This window comes from Homo sapiens, chromosome 11 (assembly GCF_000001405.40).
Source record: "Homo sapiens chromosome 11, GRCh38.p14 Primary Assembly".
Lineage (NCBI taxonomy): Eukaryota > Metazoa > Chordata > Mammalia > Primates > Hominidae > Homo > Homo sapiens.
In genome coordinates, this window is record NC_000011.10 from 120,247,597 (window position 1) to 120,268,517 (window position 20,921).

At 48.1% G+C, this 20,921-nt stretch overlaps 1 protein-coding gene and 1 long non-coding RNA gene across 10 annotated transcripts in view, besides 3 other annotated features; one reads left to right on the forward strand and one right to left on the reverse strand.

Annotated features, from left to right (window-relative positions):
- Positions 1 to 20,921, forward strand: part of POU2F3 (POU class 2 homeobox 3) — an 83,308-nt gene that overhangs the window by 10,959 nt on the left and 51,428 nt on the right. The gene's annotated exons all lie outside the window — the stretch shown is intronic.
- Positions 1,572 to 2,211: an enhancer, noted in NCBI's record as "H3K27ac-H3K4me1 hESC enhancer chr11:120119877-120120516 (GRCh37/hg19 assembly coordinates)". NCBI's record gives its function as "activates a minimal SCP1, AML or CMV promoter by ChIP-STARR-seq in primed H9 embryonic stem cells {active_cell/tissue: H9 hESC(primed)}" and the evidence as "EXISTENCE:reporter gene assay evidence [ECO:0000049][PMID:30033119]".
- On the reverse strand, positions 2,163 to 18,336 carry POU2F3-AS1 (POU2F3 antisense RNA 1). The gene is made up of 8 exons (NR_038829.1): positions 18,270 to 18,336; positions 17,731 to 17,844; positions 13,693 to 13,723; positions 8,416 to 9,397; positions 7,227 to 7,379; positions 6,516 to 6,578; positions 5,988 to 6,058; positions 2,163 to 2,809 (listed from the first exon to the last, which is right to left on the reverse strand). It is a non-coding gene; the product is annotated as a POU2F3 antisense RNA 1 (long non-coding RNA).
- Positions 7,744 to 8,038: an enhancer, noted in NCBI's record as "tiled region #564; K562 Activating non-DNase unmatched - State 21:Repr". NCBI's record gives its function as "activates a minimal TATA promoter and a strong SV40 promoter by Sharpr-MPRA in K562 cells {active_cell/tissue: K562}" and the evidence as "EXISTENCE:reporter gene assay evidence [ECO:0000049][PMID:27701403]".
- Positions 17,498 to 17,669: a silencer, noted in NCBI's record as "fragment chr11:120135803-120135974 (GRCh37/hg19 assembly coordinates)". NCBI's record gives its function as "represses an EF-1alpha promoter that drives an FKBP-Casp9 reporter gene in an ReSE screen in K562 erythroleukemia cells {active_cell/tissue: K562}" and the evidence as "EXISTENCE:reporter gene assay evidence [ECO:0000049][PMID:32094911]".

The window sequence follows — 20,921 nt, forward strand, 5'->3', positions numbered from 1 at the left end:
GTCACACTCATGTTTCAATAGATTATTTAGCAGAGTATCTTTTACTAAGGGTCTGTGGAGAGGGGCACCTGTTCTTCCCAGTTGAGAAGAAGATTCCCTTTTATCTCAAAAACCTGAGCAAGACTTTAAACTCAGTTCAGCTAGAGAGTGATAGATATAGTCCCCACACTGACACCCTTCCCTAGAGAAAAACCAGCCCAGGAGCCATGATCCAGAGAGGCTGGATTGCCCTTTTCTGGAAGCAGGCTGGCTGGAGCCAATTCTGTTTACCTGGGGCCCATTGCCCAGGTGTGTGGGGACACAGCTAAGAGAGCGTCCACATGGAAAGAAGACCACGCCTAACCAGCTTGCACTGGTGTTCTGTTACTAAGACCAAATCAGGGTAACAGTGTTAGGAGTGAGAATGAGCCACATAGAACCCTGAAAGAGGAGCCAGGAAAGGGAGGGAGTTCAAATCCTGGTGGGGGTTAGGAAGGTTAGTGTGTTATGGTCAATATGAGCAAATTCTGGCTTCCTATCTGGGAGCTATATATAAAGTAGGTTAAGAGAGAAAGAATCCAGACATTGGCTAAGACCTTCAGAATCTGTCTCTTATCCGGGGATACCACCAATTCAATATGTGACCTTAGACCAGCCACTTTGCCTCCCTAGGAGGTAGGAACGGATGAGCTTTGAAGAGTATGGATCTAGAATCAAACAGACCTGGGATAAAATTTGCAGCTCCACTGCTTACTGGCTGCATGACCTGAAAATTTATCCTTGTCCCTTTTGTAAAGGGGGAAAAGTAATGCCCAACTTAGAGAGTGGGTTGAGAGTTACTTGAGATGATGTCTCAAGCCCTTAGCACAGTGCTTGGCACATGGCAGCTGTGATCGTCATTAAGATTCTGGAATATACAGATGGGCATCGCTGCTGAGTACTTCTGGCTCATTCCCCGCTTTACTCAGGCCAGTGCATCAGCCCGGAAGGTTGGTTTTGCTCCCTTTCCCATTTAGGAAAGGATTCTGCACAGGTCCCTTTTCAGCTCCAAGGAGCCCGTGATGTCTGGAACTTTACCACCACCAGGAGATCTTTCACTTCAGGGCTCCCGGCTGGTAGCATCAATACTTAGGTGATCTTCAAATTACTGCCTGTGTTTAAGGGCAAGAAGAAAGAGGTGGCTAATTAAAGTAACCAAACTTCCTGGAAAGTCGTTCTGACTCATTTTCTTTTTACAGAAGAAAGCTTATTATGAGTCACAATGGTTACCAACTTGGTTTAATGGCTTCCTTTGGATTTTAAAAGGCAGATTCACCTTCTCAGCAGTGCATGAATTAAGGGGTGGTTTGTCTCTGGGTTTTAAAGGAACTATAAACAAAGGTGACTTAGAAAGCCCCAGCTCCCTGAAAGCACCCCCTGTGCTGCGTGAAATCCCCAAGGGGTACTGGGGGGTAAGAACTGGGAAAGGGAGGTAAATTTCCCCATCTGCACTGGTCAGGAATGCCCAGGGGAGCATTCTCAGGGCCAGACACAGACCTCCTGGCTGGTGGAGACGTGGCCGGGGGCACATGTTTTCCTTTCTTTGGCCTGTGAGGAAGCCGAGGCATAGATGAAGAATAAGCTGCCCACGAGCTCAGAATGTCTTTGCAGCAGCACAAGGGACCAGCCAAAGCTCAGAGCCCCTGTTCAGTACTCTTTCCTCTTTCTAGATTTCTGAACTATCAGCTTTTCTGTCCTTCCTACCTAATGCTTCCTCATCTGTTGTTACTTTTCCTCCACTTCTTTTTTTGAGACAGGTTCTCCCTCTGTCGCCCAGGCTGGAGTGCAGTGGTGCAGTCATGGCCACTGCAGCCTCGAACTCCTGGCTCAAGGGATTCTCCTGCCTCTGCCTCCCAGGTAGCTGGGACTACAGGCATGAGCCACCGCACCGGGACTTTTCTCCACTCTTGAGGCTGAGAACAATTTTTTTCTGTTCTCAATTATGTGGTTGATGAGAATATAGCCTTACCCATATTTCAAAAGCCCCCAGGTCTGTAACTGACAACCCCCAAGTGCAGATGTGGCTAACCCTGTGACTTTTGACCATGCTGGCCACATCATTGCCTCAATCACAAGGGAGGAAAGAACAGAGGGTCAGGAGGAAGGAGGGAGAGATCGTAACATTCACAGAGCCTCCTCCCACAGCAGGCACATGTAGGCAACTTTATTTACAGCATCTCATTTAATTCTTACAATAAGGCTATGAGATAGAGACACGATTAACCCCATCTTCATTGATGAGGAAACCATAGCTCAGAGTGAGAAACTAACTTGCCCAATATCACACAGCTTATAGCCAGAAATCAAACTTGGCCTTGTCTGACTCTATCAGACTCTTATCCTAGGTCTGCCATTAACTCCCTGCATATTATCTTGGCAAGCGTTTCCCCACATGGACCTTCATTTTCCTCCCCATAGAGGCGGGGTTTGGAGTAGATCCTCTTTAAAGGCTGAATTTTAAAGGATGTGTGCCCAGTTCTGCTTTTCACAATTCTTTCCATCTGTTTCCAGATCTTGCATTTTTGTGCAGCTTTCCTCAGCTCTGAGCTCTCTCTCTCCATCCTTTTTCCTGGTTTTCTCCCCATTCCTTTCTTTCCAGCTTCCCTTTCAGTCTTTTCTCCTCTGACACCCACAGCTGTCTTCTCTGTTTGGGCTCCGATCCTCTTTGACTTAGCTTGTAGTTGTATAACCAACATCTTTGGAGGATGGCTTGGTGGCAGATCCTGGGCTCAGATGAAGAGCATCCCTGTCCTCAAGGAGTTGTCCTTCTAGTGCAGGAATTCATGGCTGCCTGGATAACAGTGACAACATGTGTCTGTAAGGGTGTTCTCAAATACTTCATGCATTTGGCCTTTACAACAACTCTATGAGAGCAGGTATTATTAGCCTACTTCACAGATGGAGAAATGGAGGCTGGTGATGAGAAAGAACCTTAGCTACTTTTCCCAAGCTCCCATACCTAGAGAATGACAGAACTAAGCCTGAGTCTTTCTAGTGACTTTCTACCTAAAGATGGTGGTAGGAAGACTGGGAGTCAACGTAGAGAACCAGGGACAGGGGACATAAGACAATGGTAGCTGTCTGGGCGCGGTGGCTCATGCCTGTAATCCCAGCACTTTGGGAGGCCAAGGCAGGCGAATCACTTGAGGTCAGGAGTTCAAGACCAACCTGGACAACATGGTGAAACCCCATCTCTACTAAAAATACAAAAAATTAGCCGGGCGTGGTAGTGGGCACCTGTAATCCCAGCTACTCAGGGGGCTGAGGCAGGAGAATTGCTTGAAGCCAGGAGGCAGAGGTTGCAGTGAGCCGAGATCGCGCCACTGCACTCCAGCCTGGGTGACAGAGCAAAACTCCGTCTCAAAAAAAAAAAAACAGGGTCTCACTCTGTCACTTACACTAGAGTGTGGTAGGGTGATCATAGCTCCCCGCAACCTTGAACTCCTATGCTCAAGTGATCCTCCTGTCTCAGCCTCTGGAGTAACTGGGACTACAGGTATGCACCACTATGCCCAGCTAATTTTTTTAAATTATCTCTTTGTAGAGCCAGGATCTTGCTATGTTGCCCAAGCTGGTCTTGAACTCCTGGCCTGAAGCAATTCTCCCACCATGGCCTCCCAAAGTTCTGAGATTACATGTGTGAGCCACCATGCCCGGCTGACAACCATCTCTAGATGAAGCACATGTGTGAGCCTGTGCGTGCGCACACACACACACGCACACACACTCTCCCTCCCTTTTTATGATTAAATGACAGAGCAAGTCTGAACTGTATTTGTATGATGGAGTACAATTTTCACAGTCCATCATTAAGTCCTGCATGCACTTGTGCCCAGGACTTGAATTTCTTCATCGTAATAGAAGGAGAAGGGTAGTGCAGGAATAAAATGAAGCAGTGGGCTAGGTAGCCTCTAGGATCTGCACCTCAGTCTGTACTGGCTCCATCCCTCACCTCTCTGGAAGAGAGGAATGAAACTGTAGTCCCCCCCAGACATGGAGGGGGTCCTGATATTCCTGCTATGAATTCCTGAGAGGACATCTTGTCCATGCCTCTCTCTTCTTTTGGAGACATTTCAAACCCATCCCTGGAAAATGAGAGAAGCTGCTTTCTTAGAGACTTATTTTTTGTCTATTTTATATCTCTAAGAAAAACCAACCCCACGTTTTCTCTTGGCTGCCTTTTTTTTTTTTTTTTTTTTTGACAGAGTCTTGCTCTGTCGCCCAGGCTGGAGTACAGTGGCATGATCTCAGCTCACTGCAACCTCTGCCTCCAGGGTTCAAGCAATTCTCCTGCCTCAGCCTCCCGAATAGCTGGGATTATAGGTGTGTGCCACCACACCCAGCTAATTTTTTGTATTTTTAGTAGAGACAGGGTTTCATCATGTTGGTCAGGCTGGTCTTGAACTCTTGACCTCATGATCCACCCTCCTCAGCCTCCCAGAGTGCTGGGATTACAGGCGTGAGCCACCGCGCCTGGCCTTGGCTGCCTATTCCTACAGGATGCCATCCTCAGTGCCTGGAAGTCCTTTCTTATCTCTCACCTAAGACCCTCATGCTGCTGCATAAGCCCATTACCTCTTGTTCTGCTTTTCTTTTTTTTTTTTTTTTTTGAGATGGAGTCTTGCTTCGTTGCCCAGGCTAGAGTGTAATGGCACGATCTTGGCTCACTGCAACCTCCGCCTCCCAGGTTTAAGCGATTCTCCTGCCTCAGCCTTCTCAGTAGCTGGGATTACAGGCCCACCACCACCACGCCTGGCTAATTTTTGTATTTTTAGTAGGGACGGGGTTTCACCGTGTTGGCCAGGCTGGTCTCAAACTCCTGACCTCAAGTGATTTGCCTGCATCGGCCTCCCAAAGTGCTGGGATTACAGGCATGAGCCTCCGCACCCAGCCTTGTTCTGCCCTTCTCAGAGTGGCTCCCACCCCACCTTGTTTCTGCTTTCTGTGACAGGGAAATTAGTAAGTACTGATTCGCCACTCAGCCTGCAGACTGTGGCTCCATGTGCCAGAGATCGCAGAACAGCCTGTGGTGCCAGGATTTGCTTCTCTGCCTCCAGCACTCAGAGAACCTTATCAAATAAAGCAGCCACAGCAGCAGCTCACATCCGTACCATGACTTACAACTACAGATACTTTCTCATCCATAGATTCCCACGCCAACACCCAGGACTAGGGTAAGCAGAGGTGGCAGGATTGTATGGTTCAGATGAGCCGTGAGGAGTTGGCTAGCCCTGCCCGACACCATTCCCTCTTCCTCTTGGAGATCTCCTTAAGGAAATGGTCACCCCTCGACCCCAGTTGCCACCTTTGCAGCCCCCAGTAGAACTTGGACTCCTTTTCTGTTCAACGTAAGAGGGGAAAAAGGAGGGGGAGCCTGGTGTGGGAGGCATCCATAAGCCATCTTTTACCACCCAGAGTTCCCTTAGTTTATGAGTGGTCATTCTTTAGAGCACTGCTTCTCAAACAGTCTGGGAGGAGGACCAGTGTTTATATTTCCAGCCTGTCACAGACATGCACCCAGACCTACTGTGCCCGACAGCCTGCAGCTTGCACTTACCATGCGTACTCAACAGCACCAAATGGCTCACACCCAATTCAGCTGGAGGGCCCACTGATGGAGTGCTTGGATGTGCTATTAACATTTTTAATTTTTTTTTTTTTTTGAGATGGAGTCTCACTCTGTCACCCAGGCTGGAGTGCAGTGGCACAGTCTTGGCTCACTGCAACCTCCACCTCCCGGGTTCAAGCGATTCTCCTGCCTCAGCCTCCCATGTAGCTGGGACTACAGGCATGTGCCACCATGCCTGGCTAATTTTTGTATTTTTAGTGGAGACGGAGTTTCACCATGTTGGCCAGGCTGGTCTCGAACCCCGACCTCAGGTGATCCGCCCACCTCGGCCTCCCGAAGTGCTAGGATTACAGGTATGAGCCACCGCACCCAGCCAACATTTCTAAGTTCTTATACTCACTCTTTGTCCGTAGCTGGTCCTGGACCTCCACAGTGCACAGACCAGCTTTGGTCGTTGCGGGGACTTTCTACCTAAAGATGGTGGTAGGAAGACTGGGAGTCAACGTGGAGAACCAGGGACAGAGGACATAAGACAATGGTAGCTGTCCGGGTGCGGTGGCTCATGCCTTGTGGTGCACTACCTTAGTGGAGTTTGCGTTGTGTATTAGAAAGTCTCTTTCCTGTGGCCTCCGTGAGCAATGGCTCCACCTGACCCTGGGTACATCTTCGTATGACCTCCTTACCATTCCTCTCACTCCCTCCCTGGAGATGTTGGGGGATGATGATGGGAGACCCAGCAGGAGAGGGAGGTCCCAGTCTGTCCTTTGCTGACCGGGGTGGCATGACACCCACCTACCCTGCAGACTGGAAGACTGAGCAGCATCCAGAGACTCAGGCCACTGCAGCTTTCTGAGCCTCAGCCCTTCACTAAGGCACCCAAAATTGCAGACTCCCCCAGCCCCAAGCTGGGAGTAAATCCTTTATGTACCTTGGGTTCACCTTCCTCCCTCAGAAACGATTAGGGCGATGAACACCTGAATGTGGAAAAGTGCTGAAAAAGTGGAGGAAGAATTTAGAAAGAAATGAGCGTTCAAATTAGACAAGTCTTAGGGCCTTGAAGGGCAGCCAGAACCCAGGCAACTGACATGCAGCTACAGTCTGTCCCAACCCAGCCCCCAAGCACCCGCATAGACAAGCAGACATACACTTCAGACCCCAGAGTTGGGGGTGCACCTAGAGGCAGTCTCTTTTCTGGTCGAGGTTGCTCTTTCAAGGCAGAATTGGGTGCTTGAGGAAGTTTGTGAAACTACAGGAGGGGCAGAGGAGATGACAAGTTGGAGTTTGGGGCCAGCATTTGTTATGGGTCTGTGGAGACCACTTCCCCCCGGAAGGGCTTGCCCAGGATGACCCACTCCTAGGACTGTCTAGGAGGTGAAGAAGTGGAAAGGGGGAAAAGCAGGAGCCCTTCCTCTCATCCCCATTCCTCATAGGCTTTGGTTTGGAGGAAGAGGGCCAGAGTCAAGCTGAGAGTACTTAAAAGGAAAGCGGCATGAGGTCACCCCAACAGGGGCTTCTGGGGTTCTCCCACATTGGAGCCTGGGGGTCTGGCAGGACAGGGCAGGATGTGTGACCAGAGCCCTCATAAGTGGCTGGGTTTCATTCCTATGGGCTTCAGACACCAAGAGTTCAAAGTGCCCACCTGGGCTCTCCCTGGACTGGTGAGCTTGCTGGTGGGCGCTCCTGGGGTAACAGCAGATCCCTGGGAGACTCAGGGAGGGCAGGCCTTTGTGCCAAGCCAGGAGCATGGGAAACAGCTGCAGGCATCTCCCAAAAGCATCAGTGCTGTTGTTGACTCAAAAAATAATAGGTGTTCATTTGCATGGCATTTTACATACAGCTTCCACACACTGCCTTTCATCTCCTACCACTGGCACCACCAAAGCCCCCCATGTGTCTCCTTTCCTGCCTGCCACCTCTGGGGGCCTCGTGGTCTCCCCCAGACTCCCAGTCTTCCCCACCACAGCCTAGCCCACCCTTGGCTTAGCCCAGCCAGAAAAACCAGCGGTTGGCCTTGCCTGGGTGTGCCCAGTCCAGGTTTGTACGAGAGGTGTGGGCAGGTAGGCTGGCGTATCTGGACCCCACTGGGCACCTCAGCTGGGGACACTCCACCTGCCCCAGTAGGGGGCTTGCCTTCCCTTCAGCTGCTTGGGCTGGAAAAAGGAACGAAAAATCGAAGCCGGGGAGCCCAGAGAGGTGCGGAAAGGAGAGGAAACTGGGTGGTTGCTATGACGATGGGGTCTCGGCGCCCAATTTGCATAGGGCGATGATTTCCATACTGCAGGGTGAATTTCCATATCCCTGCCTCAAAGCCTGTTGGGGTGGGGAGGGGGAGAGGTCATTTGAAATTCAAATGAGGATGATTAAGGTTTTCTTGAGGAGGGAAGCGTGGACAAAAGGGGTTAAGCCTGCTGGCAAATGTCGGCTCCAGGGCTCCAGGTTATCAAAGGGAGGTGTGTACTTGACTGGCTCCCTTCCCACCCCATCTCCACGGGACCCTGGAGAGCTGGGGGTGGTTGGAGGAGTCGGCGCTGGGCTGGGTGTTATAACTTCTGCCTCACAGGAGAGCCGGCTGGGTCTCCGTCCCTTCCTGCACCTGGGCTCCATTTAGCCCCTCAGTGTCCTGAGGACATCTGAGTTCGTGGGAAGGACCACTGCGTGAATTCTGGGGCTGGGTTCATGCCTTCCTCCCTCTGGTGACCTTGGACTGATCATCTCAGGTTGTCCCTCAGCGAGACTGGGGAATAATCCCTGCACTTTCTTGTTTGGCGGAGGAGGTGTGAGGACAGATGGATTCTGGACTCATCTTTATCACAAACCTGCGAACTCACCTGAGTTACCGTCCCTCTTTCGGCTGGAGTTTGTGCATAAGACGAAGGGTCTGAATCTGAGGGTCTCTAAAACAACTTCCAGCTCTGAGATGCTGGGGTCTGTGAACACACTCCAATCCTTTTCACACATCAGTTAGTATTTGTAAGGCTGTTTGAGCAGTGTGAATTGCTGCACCCCTAAGTGTCTCTGATGTGTTGAGAAGGGCTCCTCTGTTCTGACTTTGGGGTAGTTACTTAAAGGCTATCTGCTCAGTTTCTTCCTTTATAAAACAGGATTAATGATAGTCCCTACCTCATAGTGCTGCTGTGAGGATTACACAAGTCAACATTTGTAAAGCACTTAGAAGAGCGCCTGCCAGATGATAATGCTATTTGCTATTATTAGTATCAGCAGGACAAAGTGTCCAAGTGGTGGGTGCTGTGACCACCAGCCACTCCAGGGAGCCTCAGTGAGAAATATGGCCTGTTTTCCAGGAAGACTTGCCTATACATTCACTCGTGGTCAGCACACTGTCGTGTCCACACATGTCCAGGACTCTCGAGTTGGAAGCATACTTCAGTGACTGTCACCCCACAAGAAGCCCACTCTGCCACCCAGGGAGATGCATCTGTCACATTAACCCACTGTGGGCTCCTCATGTTGATCCTAACTCAAGTTTGTCTTTGCTTCTTAGGAAGTAGGAACATGGCAGGAAGAAGGGGAGGGAGCTGGTGGAAGCACCCCCTCCTCCCAGGACCCAGTGCTAAGAGATGGTGCAGATTCACGGAGACTAGATGTTGTAGTTCCAGAAGATCTAAAAGTCTTTTTTTCCCATAGAGTTTCTGCAGCAACTTCATATGAGGTTTCATTTGGAGATAACATGGTGTAGTATGGACAGCCTTTGCTGGTAGACAGATGTGGGTTTCAGTCTCTACTCAGTGATTTATTAATCAGTAACCTTAGGCGAGGTAATTAACCATTCTGAGCCTCAAGTTTCCTCATCTGTAAAATGGGGATAATAAGAACACCCACTCATAGGGTAGTTGTGAGGATTAAATACTGTCCTGTGTATAAAATGTTTACTACAAAGCTTGGTGCGTAGTAAATGCTCAATAAATGTCAGCTACTAATTAATCCTTATTATTTGAAAACAGTGTTCTGCTGCCAAAGTGTTGGAAAATTCTCTGATCTTGCCCTATTTTCCTATTTTATAGGGGAGGAGACTGGGGTCAGAGAAGGGGGATGATTTTCCCAAGGTCACAGCGGGAGTTCAAGACCCACGTTTCCTTAGGACCCTTTCCCTGCCCCAGAAACAGGTCCTCTGTCCTTTGCTTTGGTTTTGTTCCTTTCTGCTATTTTGTTCTTTCCTTGGACAGAGCTTCCCCTCCGCCTACCACCCTTCCCTCAGAAGTGGCCCGGCACCACGTGACCTGCTCCTGCCACATCTCGGGGTCACCATACCCTTCAATTCTCACTTTCAGGGGCTCTCTGTGACCCTGGCCTGGGGTCCCGCGGCTCTAGCTTCTCACTGGCTCCTCCACAAGGGTTTTTGCTCTGTTCTCAGGGCCTCTGAGTGCACCTTTCCCCTGCACTCCAGCCCTGGGGACACCACTCCAGAGAGGAGGGGAGAGTGTGACCCTGGCAGCGTCACACCACGTCATGGAAAGGACATGGCATCTCCACTCTCTGACAAGCCCTGACCCCTCTGAGCCTCACTTTGCTCAGTGGTAACACAGGATTTCTGTAATTCCGGCCCTGCAGACCTCACAGGCAGGGTGAGGATCAAACAAGAAATGGACATGGAAGTGTGCTGCAAAACGAAGGAACAACTGCATTTGAGCCAGGCATTTTGGTGCAAATGAACCATGCATTTTGGTGGCCAGCACATGGACCTTGGAGCCAGAACTTGGAGCTCTGAGTTCTTTCTCTCCAGCTCTGGAGCAAATGACCTTGGGCAAGTTACATAAGCTCTTCCAGCCTCAGTTTCCTTATGCGTAAGATGTATTGTGAGGAATGAATGAAATGAGTCTATCTGTAGCAGTTTTCAAGTGTGAGTTGCTTTACAAATGTGAGATAGCATCTCTAGGTGTAAGCTTTCTCACTCCACACGCGCCCCTCTGAGCTGCACTAAGCACATCTTTGTGACCACGTGAGAGCCAGCGCCCAGCTGAATCTTGCACCTCTGGTAGCTCCCCCTGCTCTTTCGCTCTCTACCCCTTCTCACCCCCACTTTCCTCACCCTGGGGGAGAGGACTAGGAAAGAGCCCCTTGGACTCTTACTAACCTTAAACCTCTCTGAGCCCCTTCCTCTGGCAAGGCTGGGGTAAGGCTGGAGCGGTGCTGGTCTGGAATCAGTGTTTAAAGAACTCCATGGGCTGTCATGAACATAGTCAAGTCTGGGCATTGGAGCTCAGAGATTTTGTCCCTGAGTTGCCATTTGCTGGTCGCATGACTTTTAGCACATGGCTTGTCCTTTCTGGGACTCAGTTTCCTTACCTGTAAATGGTGGGTCCAGAGCAAGGAGTCTCTGGTTCCTCTCTAGCACAAAAAAGCTCTGATAGAAAAATAGCGTCTGGGTGGGGCGTTTCTCTGAGATGTGTTTTTGGGTGCAACTAGAACAGAGCTCTTATTTAACTTCCTTTGAAGTTGGACTTTTACTATTTTTCCAAGGCTGGGGGATTATGAGTCAAGGTTTTGATTGGGAACTTGGATCTTTTGGCCCCGTTCCTTGCAGCAGTGGCCTGAGTGCCTGGACACTTTTTTCTGAAACCTGGTGCCGTCTGCTCAGGGTGCTCCTTCTGCTTAGCCCTGACCATGCTGCCACTTTTGCCCCTGGCTCTATGACTGCAGCATCAGTGTGTGGCCAACAGGGGATGGGGTTGAGGCAGGGATCTCCTGTTGCATGGGAAGCCCAGAGGGCCCCATCTCAGACTGAGAAGAAATGTGGGTTGTATTTCCTAACGAACAAAGAGACCTTGCTGAGGAACCTTCCCTTTCTCAAAAAATGACATGAAAAATTGCAGTGGGAAGCTGAGGGGATGCTGGGCTCCTCTGTAGCAAAGGTGGGTGCAGCAGAGCTCCTCTGTCCCCTGTGGCATGGCCCTAGCCTCCTGGTATCTGTGGGACCGGCCTGGAGAGCAGGCTTCAGGGTTTGATTTCATGACTGTGCATTTGAAGGAAAGTCATCAGAATGCCCTATAGTCCACGTCACAAGGAAGCCCTGAGGTTGGTGATGTTGACTCTTCTCTGGGTAGAGAGGTATGAGCTTTAAACCATGAAAACTCCCCAATCCACAGACTGTCAGGGGTAGAGAGAACCTGACAGATCATCCAGTCTTGGAGTAGCAAGTGAGTGTCTTCAGGAGCACTAATTCTGGTCACCTCTAGTGGTCGGTGAGCCCTGAGTTTAGGAAAGAAAAAGGGAAAGCCAGGATCCATTAGTGATGTCTGCCTTGGGCATGGCTTGCACACACGCGGTGTCTTTGCATTTGCTATCCACACCCTGGCTTGACCCAGGACTCTCAGCTAGTGGAGAAATAAGACTCAGACCTCCCAACTCCTAAACCAGTGCTCTTCCCACAGTCCCTCATGGGGCCTCCTGGGTCCTATTCTTCAGGTGGCTTCAAGGATTGCTTTCAGGCTTCTCCTGGATATTTCCTCACTCCTAAGAAGGAGGTGGCAGGAATGGAGACAGCAACTTTTTGTTTTAATATAATGTTTAGAGGAAGTTGAAGGCTACGGAGATTAAGCCACTTGCCAAAGTTGAGCATGAAACAGCCTCCAAAGTGACCCTAGAACCCAGTTTACTGTGCATTTTCTGGACAGAACTCTGACCATTAGGCCACACTTCCCAGTTCCTTGGATGAATCTCAAGTACCAAAAAATGTAGGCATAATGTCTGGGGGCATCCTGGAAAAAACTTGTTTTGGGCTGGTTTAAATGACCACGCTGGAAGCTTCTCCATTTGTTCTGGTGGCTGGCTGCTGAGGAGCGCTTCCAAGGTCCCAGTAGCTTAATGGTTGCTCTCCCAGGAAATGCCAGCAAGGTGCTAGTGTCACTAGAAGTCTTACTGGGTTATACTGGAAAGTAGAGCTGGTGAGAAGAGAACCAGAGATGGGAGAGGCTCGGCCCCATTGCCGAATGTTCTCTCCATTGTTTACCAGGCAGAAGTGAAAAATCCTGCTTGAACAGTTCTCCGGCTTCCACCTCCCTCACCCAGAGAATTGCTCCCCAGGCAAACTCACATCCCAGGGCTGCCAAAGCTATGCAAATCAGCCTTCTAGCCTGGGCTGTTGGCTCATCTTGGAGGTGGGAAAGCAGGACCCTCCTAGGGGCCCCACGCCTAGCTCCTGGTGTTAGGGGCTTGGCCAGGGAGCTCAGGTCACTGTTGGTGGGCATCCACGGTGTCCACAGATGCCAAGGGGAGGAGAGGTGGAGGCGGAGGCTGCTTTTGACACTGGGCACCTCCTCCATTAGGATCCTTGGACTTTCCTCTGCAGCACTTCATTGGGTATTATGGCCGTCTTGGCCTAAGGAGATTGTATTGGAATCCTGGGGCTCCCCAGAATTTTAGTGTGCCTTTTACTCTCTTGATCACTTAATTCAAATTCTGTGGACCTAGATGTTCTCATGTTTAACCCAAATCCCTCCAACTGCAGCTTGGCTTCTCACTGGGAGCTGTTTGGTGGAGATGCACAGTCCTGGGCACTGTGTGGGAGCAGGGATATGCTGGCGTTGGGGGGTTAAGTTGGGTCTTCGATGAGTCCTCAGACATTCTCCGAGTTTGAGATGCCAGAACCTCGCACGGTGACTCATGCCTGTAATCCCAGCACTTTGGGATGCCGAGGCAGGAGGATTGCTTGAGCTCAGGAGTTCCAGGTTAGCTTGGACAACATAGTGAGACCCTGTCTTTACAATTTTTTTTTAAATTAGTCAGTTGTGGTAGCACACCTGTGGTCCTACCTACTGGAAAGGCTGAGGTGGGAGGATTGCTTGAGCCGGGGAGGTCAAGGCTGCTGTGAGCCATGATTGCACCACTGCACTCCAGCCTGGATGACAGAGTGAGACATTGTCTCAAAAAAACAGAAAAGATTCCAAGAATGGAGTCTTGCCAGAGTGGGAAGAAAACAGTGCTTTGGGGTTGGAGACATGGTTTTTTTTTTTGTTGTTTTGTGTGTGTGTGTGTGTGTGTGTGTGTGTGTGTGTGTTTTGTTTGTTTGTTTGTTTGCCTCCCCCTGAGGATCATTCCCCACATACCTGCATGCTTTAAAAGCTCTTTCACTTTGTGCAATCACTTACCCTTGTTCGGTCTCAGGCTCAGTTTCCTCACCTGTAAAATGAGGTGAATAATAAAACCACATCTTCCCAAAGGCCTGGATGATCTCCTGCATTCCCTCCCAGCCTTATGAGCCAGAGTTCCTGGGCATATGCCCTCTCCTACTTTCTTGCCATTGAGGCCTCCTGGCCCAGAGATTCCCAGGGGTCCATGAGAACCAAAAGAGGCCTGGAGAGATCCCAGCTGTTGGCCCTTCCTACTTGGCACAGATCTCATCCATTTGCTCCCAAGACCTCCAGACAGGGAATTCTGGCACTTCCTTTGTGAGCCCTTTCTGCCCTACCCCTCCCTTCTGTGTACTTAATCTTTTATTTGTATACAGAACCAACAGGACCCAGGGAAATGGTGAAGAGAGTTCTTTGGTCCTCCCTGTGCCTCTCTTTGCAGATGCTGTAGACAGTGACAAGATTCTGGGAGGGAAAGAAAAAGTCCTGGTACGTTTCAATCAAATGCATTGAATCCTAAGACTTCAGCAGATGGAGGGAATTTGGGAGGTCACTTGAGATCCCCTTTGACGCTATCAAATTGACTCATCAATTCAAACATCAGTTCTGTAACAGCCCTGAAATAAGCAGCCTCCGCTTGAATATTCCTGAGGATGGGGAGCTCTGTGACGCTGCAGGTTTCACTGTGGACAGGTACACTTTTTACAGAGTTCTTCCTTATGCTGAAAGGAGGCCTGCTTCCCCACAGCTTCTACCATTGTTCTGCTCTTTGGAGCTGTAGGCTAAGCCTGCTTCACTTCCAGGCCAGTATATGGGGAGGAAGGAAAAGTCCACTGACATTTATTTCAGCACTGACTGCACCAGGCACAGGGCCAGGTGCTTTCAAATGTTCCCTCAATGAACCTTTTCAACTTTTATTTTGAAAAATTTCAGACATACAGAAAAAGGAAAAGAAACTTCAATGAACAGCCACATATCCATCATCTGGATTCAATAATGAACATTTCGCCATATTTGCTTCATCTATTTTTCCGAAGTATTTTATTTATACATTTATTTTCAATATCTTTTTATTCTGGACATTTTTAAACAAACACAAAATGAGAGACTAATACAATGAGCCCCCAAGCACTCATCACCCCTTCTCAGCAACCATCAAATTCTTGCCATTCTCATTACTGGAATATTTTCTTTTAAATTACAGGCATTATAACATTTCAGTCCTAAATAAGGGAATATGCATCTCTAAAACATGAAGACATTTTCCTTCTTAAGCACAATATCATTATCACACAAAACAAAACGAATCCCTCATTTAATTCTCACAGCAATTTTGATGGTAAAGTATCTTAAAATATGCACACGCATTTTTAATTGCTTTATGTATCAGCTATGATTATTTCTATTCTTGGTTCCAGTTTGAGGTTGGTTGTTGGTATTGCTGAAAGCAGTCTTCATGAGGTTCCACCTTGTAGCAGATGGTCTTAAAAGTGGAGCATATCTTTGCGCAATTGAACTGCTTTAGCTGACTATCCAATATGAAGTAGAAAAGCGGATTTCCAGTTTACATTATTTGTCAAAATAGAATTCCCTAATAAAACTTTTGGTTGGCTTTTTTATATTTTTCTATCGTGGTAAAAAATGCATAACATAAAATTTACTGTCTTAACCATTTCTTTTCTTATTTATTTAATTTATTTATTTATTTATTTATTTATTTATTTATTATTATTTATTTTGAGATGGAGTCTCACTCTGTTGCCCAGGCTGCAGGGCAGTGGCACAATCTTGGTTCACTGCAAACTCTGCCTCCTAGGTTCAAGCAATTCTCCTGCCTCAGCATCCTGAGTAGCTGAGATTACAGGCATGTGCCACCACACCCAGCTAATTTTTGTATTTTTAGTAGAGACGTCGTTTCACCATGTTGATCAGGCTGGTCTCGAACTCCTGACCTTGTGATCTGCCCACCCTGGCATCCCAAAGTGCTGGGATTACAGGCGTGACCCACCGCGCCCAGCCTACCATCTTAACCATTTCTAAGCATACAGTTCCACCTCCCCATCTTTGATTTTATATAGTTGATTTTTTTAGCCTAAATACAGGACTTTGTATTTATTCCTGTTACATTTTATCTTGTTGGTTTGGGTCTCCTGTTAGAGCCTACCAAATATTTTCTAATCCTGATTCTGTGGTCTACTTTTATGTATTGCTTTCTGCTCTCTGCTTCGAATCACTTCCAGATTTGATCCGCATCTATCTTCTTTATTAGCCTAAGCTGTTGATTAAGGTCTAAAACCATACTCAATTTTTTTCTGCGTCACTCAATGCGTTGGAGTTATCGGAAAAACTGTGTGAGTTTGGTAGTTAAGAAATCTGAGCTGTTGTCCTGGTTCAGGTTCTCTGAGGCTATGTGTGGCCTCAGGAAGGTGTTTTCCCCTCTGAGGTTAGACTTTGGTGTTGGACTCTGAAAATAATGCTGCTGGCCATATGTGTTCTGTCCTTTTCTGGTTTTTCTGCAGCGGCAGCCATCTTCCAAAGACGGAGCCAGGGCTTGGAAATAGAACGTGTTCAGGTTTCTGTGGATGGGGATGCCTGTGGTTTCTTAGGTCTGAATAGGAGGTTAGTTTATGTCACAGTTTCTCAGTGATTTGGATCTGTTAAACATATGATCCTTCAGTACCTACTGTTTTAGACACTTGGGGCATAAAGATGAGCAAGATATAATAACCCTGGCCTCTGGGACCTCACAATCTCATGAGGGAAACAGACACATAAGCCACTGACTCTAAAAAACATGGTATGTGCTATAAGGGATAAGAGCTGGGCGCAGTGGCTCATGCCTATAATCCCAGAACTTTGGGAGGCTGAGGCTTGAGGCCCAGAGTTCAACACCAGCCTAGGTAACATGATAAGACCTCATACACACACACACACACACACACACACACACACACACACACACAATTAGCTGAGCATGGTGGCACATGCCTGTAGTCCCAGCTACTCTGGAGGCTGAGGTAGGAGGATTGCTTGAGCCCAGGAGGCAGAGGTTGCAGTAAGCTGAGATCGCACCACTGCACTCCAGCCTGGAAAAGAGGGTGAGACCCTGTCAATGAATGAATGAATGATGCAGAAACACAGAGGAGGAAATCCTTTGTTTTGCTTTGGATAAGCTTCTTGGAGAATGACTTTTAAGTTGGGTCTTGAAGGGTGAGTATTTTCTAGGTAGAAGAGGAGGAGAGAAGGGCCTTTCAGAGGGAGCAGCATATGCAAAGTCCCCAACACAAGATCAGACTCCACCTTTTGGGGGGGTGGTCTAGGGTGTCTGGAACCCAGCTCTGCAGTTTAGAAGCCTAGCCATCAGCTTATCTCACTCAATTCTCACTGTATTCCTGGGAAAGGAATGAAACAAGAATCATGACCTTGTTTTACCACTGAGATATCAGGAGGTCCCTGCTTTGACCAAGTTCACATAGCTTGGTGGTGATGGAGCTCAGGCTCGAACCTCAGTCCTCTGACTTCCAGTCCAGGACTCTTTCTAAGCATACCCTGCTGCTCCTCCACACAGCATCTTACAGGAGTAGAAAAGTTTCTGGTGATCGTGGACCAGTTTTTAACACAATATAATCATTGCATCTCTTCCTTTCTCTGGGAAAGAGGAGTACCTTCAGTACTGTTTCAAAGATGAATAAATTTAAGCATTGCAGGAATGACTGGCCAGTTGCCTTAATCTGGAGCATTGGGGCCACAGCAGAGCCCCCATGACCTAAATCACCATCTGCAGTTCCCAGGTACCACCTTCCATGCCTTCCTGTAGGCTGGGTGGGGAGAGCTGCTCCATGGAACAAGTCCAGTGACCACGGAAGGAAAGCAGGAACAAGCATGGCAGTAAAATGAGGGCTGCGGTGGTTCCTCTTCAGCCAGATCCGGAGGGAGAATCAACAGCATCACCAGATATGAACCTAATACCTCCAGTAGACTATGTCCCTATGTCTCGGCCTAGACACATGGGCTCGGAGACATGAGGGAGGCCATGTCTCCCAAGAGCTGTCTTACCTGAGTGCCAAAGGCTGAGCCATGTGCCACTCTCTGCCCTCCGGCAGCGCTAGGGGCCAGTCTCCCGGGAGGGCATGGCTGGCCCCTGCACTCTAATCCTGCCCTTCATTGTGCCTGGGAACAAGGAAAATGAGAGATACCACAGCAGATAAGAATGAATTTGATGAGAAGGGGAAACTCCATCATCAGGCTCCAAGTGGAGCAGATGCATCCTCAGGGTGAGATGCCTCTTGAGAAGGGGGCCACGGCCAAACTTCCGGGCAACAGAAATGGTTGATTGTGTTGGTCATTTTCAAATTAATCTCTGAATTGTGCTTACACACCTTTTTCATGTTATGGGTCTCACTAACAACATCATAATGGCATTCACAGAAATCAAAAGTGAAGACACTTTTTAATTGTCCACAAACCTGATGACCCTCTCCAAGTCAAACTGTTATACAATGCTATTTTTCTCACTTTCTAGGTCTCATTCAAATGCATATTGTCTCCTTTCTTGAAAGCCCCTCTCCTCTTACACTCCAGGGCAGCACACTTACCCGGTCTTTCTTCCATTTGCCTGCCCACTCTTTCTCAGTCTCTTTTGCTGGTGCCTCCTCATCATCTAAACTTGACCCTTTTTTCTTCCTCATCTAGGCTCAGTTCCTTTGTGACCTCACTGGGTCCTGCGGCTTTAGCTACCACCCATAAGCTGAGGGCTACACAATTGATACCTCCTGACCGAACACTTCTCCTGAGTCAAACTCATTTCCCCACCTCTTCTGGGATATCTAATTGGCATCTCAAACCTTGCATGTCGAAAGCATAACTCTTGAGTTCTTCCCCAAGTCACCCCATCGTAGTGAGTGGCACCACCACAGCTTCACCGAGGAAGCCCAGACCCTAGGAATCATCCTGGATTCCTTTCTTTCCTCTGCCCTCCACATCCCCGCATCAGCCAGCCCTGTCAGCTGTCCATTTAAGTACATCCTGGCCCTGCTCACTGCATCCACTGCCACCATCCTATCCAGCCCGCTGCCCTCCCACTTGAGCTATTGCAGCAGCCTCCCAGTTGGTCTCCCTTCCTCTTCTCTTACCCCTGCAGGTGTAAAGGCTTAAGTCAGATCATGTTACTCCTCTGCTTGGAACTCTCAGATTGACCCATCCTCCTTGGATTGAAAATTGCAGTCTTTATCACGACCCAACCAGCAGATCCCATGCCAACTCTCCATCACTACTCTCTCCAGCCATACTGACCTCATTATTGTCCCTCAGCGTGCAAGCCTGTTCTTGCCTCAGGACCCAGTCTTTCCATCGGAAATGATCTTTCCTCAGGACTTCGAAAGACTGGGTCCTCACTTTGTTCAGAGAAAATGTCACCTCCCTTGAGTGGCCCTTCCAGGTCATCCTGTTTCTGATCAGCCTCAGATACTCTCTACCGCCTTACAGTGCCTTCTTGTTCTCCACAGTAATTATCTGTAAATGAAAGCACAGTGCATTTTTGTTTGCTTAGTTCTTTCTTATGTCTTCTCAACTAGAAAAGAAACTCCATGAGGCCAGTGACTTCCTTCTTCTCCAATATTGTATCCCCAGTGCCTGGAACAGCACCTTGCACATAGACTGTGCTTAGTAAATACTTGTTGAATTAATGAATGTGTTCTTTTGTCAAGTCTTTGAACATTACTCCTTATTAACCCAATGTTACAACATCACAATGTCACAAAGGGATTTTTTTTAAGAGAAAAGCAATTTTACCTTCATCTACCCCTTTCAACACAGCTATTGCGGCTGTGGGTCCTTCCCGTCTTTAGCTCCCTTAGCAGATCTCTTTTTTTTTTTTTTAGACAGAGTTTCACTCTGTCACCCAGGCTGGAGTGCAGTCATGCGATCTCGGCTCACTGCAACCTCCGCCTCCCGGGTTCAAGAGATTCTCCTGCCTCACCCTCCCGAATAGCTGGGACTACAGGTGCCCATCACCATGCCTGGCTAATTTTTGTATTTTTAGTAGAGGTGGGGTTTCACCATATTGGCCAGGCTGGTCTCAAACTCCTGACCTCAAATGATAGACCCACCTGGGATTACAGGCTTGAGCCACTGCACCCAGCTCCCCTAGCAGATCTGATATATCATCATAGCTGATCTCAAAACCAGGCTTTGCTCAGAGATCATTTTGCATCTCACCTCTCCCTCTTTCTCGGGACCCCACCTGCTCTTCATCCTCTGCTGCCACCTTGCCAGCCCACCTGCTCTCAGAGATGCGTCATGACCTCATGACCACACAGGAAAGGGCTGTACTTGCCCATGGTTGTTTAGGACACAGCTGAGGAAAAGGGGTTAAAACAGGGAATTCTCTTAGACCCCATTCATTCATCTCTCAGGTGTTTCTTGAGCCTCTTATCCATGTTAGGAACTGTGGTCATTTTGTGGCCACTGAGGACAAAAAAAAAATGGGTGTCACTGTCCAGCTCCCAAGGAATATATAGATGCATATATATAGCATATTGTATATGCATATTAATATATATGCATATGCTGCGTAGTGCTGGGCTCTGAGGGTACCGTATTTAGTAAATAATTATTTTCCTTGCTGTTATAGAACCAATAATACAGGAGACCCAAAGGAAGGTTGTGCGGCAGCTCCAGTCCTGGAGAGCTATGTGAATAGGAAAAGCAATTTTCCTATTCACATAGCAAAAGAGTGAAAATGACTCTGCTAACAATAGGTATAAGTTTAAGCAAATCATGGTATATCCATATAATATAATATTATGTAACCATTAAAAATGATACTTATAAGCATAGAAGCATTTATGATGTTCCTTAATAGCATAGGAGAAATATTTATGATGCTCACTGGAAAAAGTGGGATAGAAGTCTATACAGAGTGGTATATATCCATGAAGAGAAACAATTATAAATAATATCATAAAATATACAAAAATATTAATTATGACGTCCTCTCGGTAGGGTGATTTTTCCACTACTTTAGACTTTTTCTGAACCAAAAAGCTTTGCTTTTCTTCCTCTTATGTATTTATTTATTTATTTATTTTGAGACAGGGTCTCATTCTGTTGCCCAGGCTGGAGTGCAGTGGCACAATCAGGGCTCACTGCAGCCTCTACCTCCTGGGCTCAAGCGATCCTCCTGCCTCCACCCCCTGAGTAGCTGGGACTACAGGCATGTGCCATTATGCCTGGCTAATTTTTTTGTA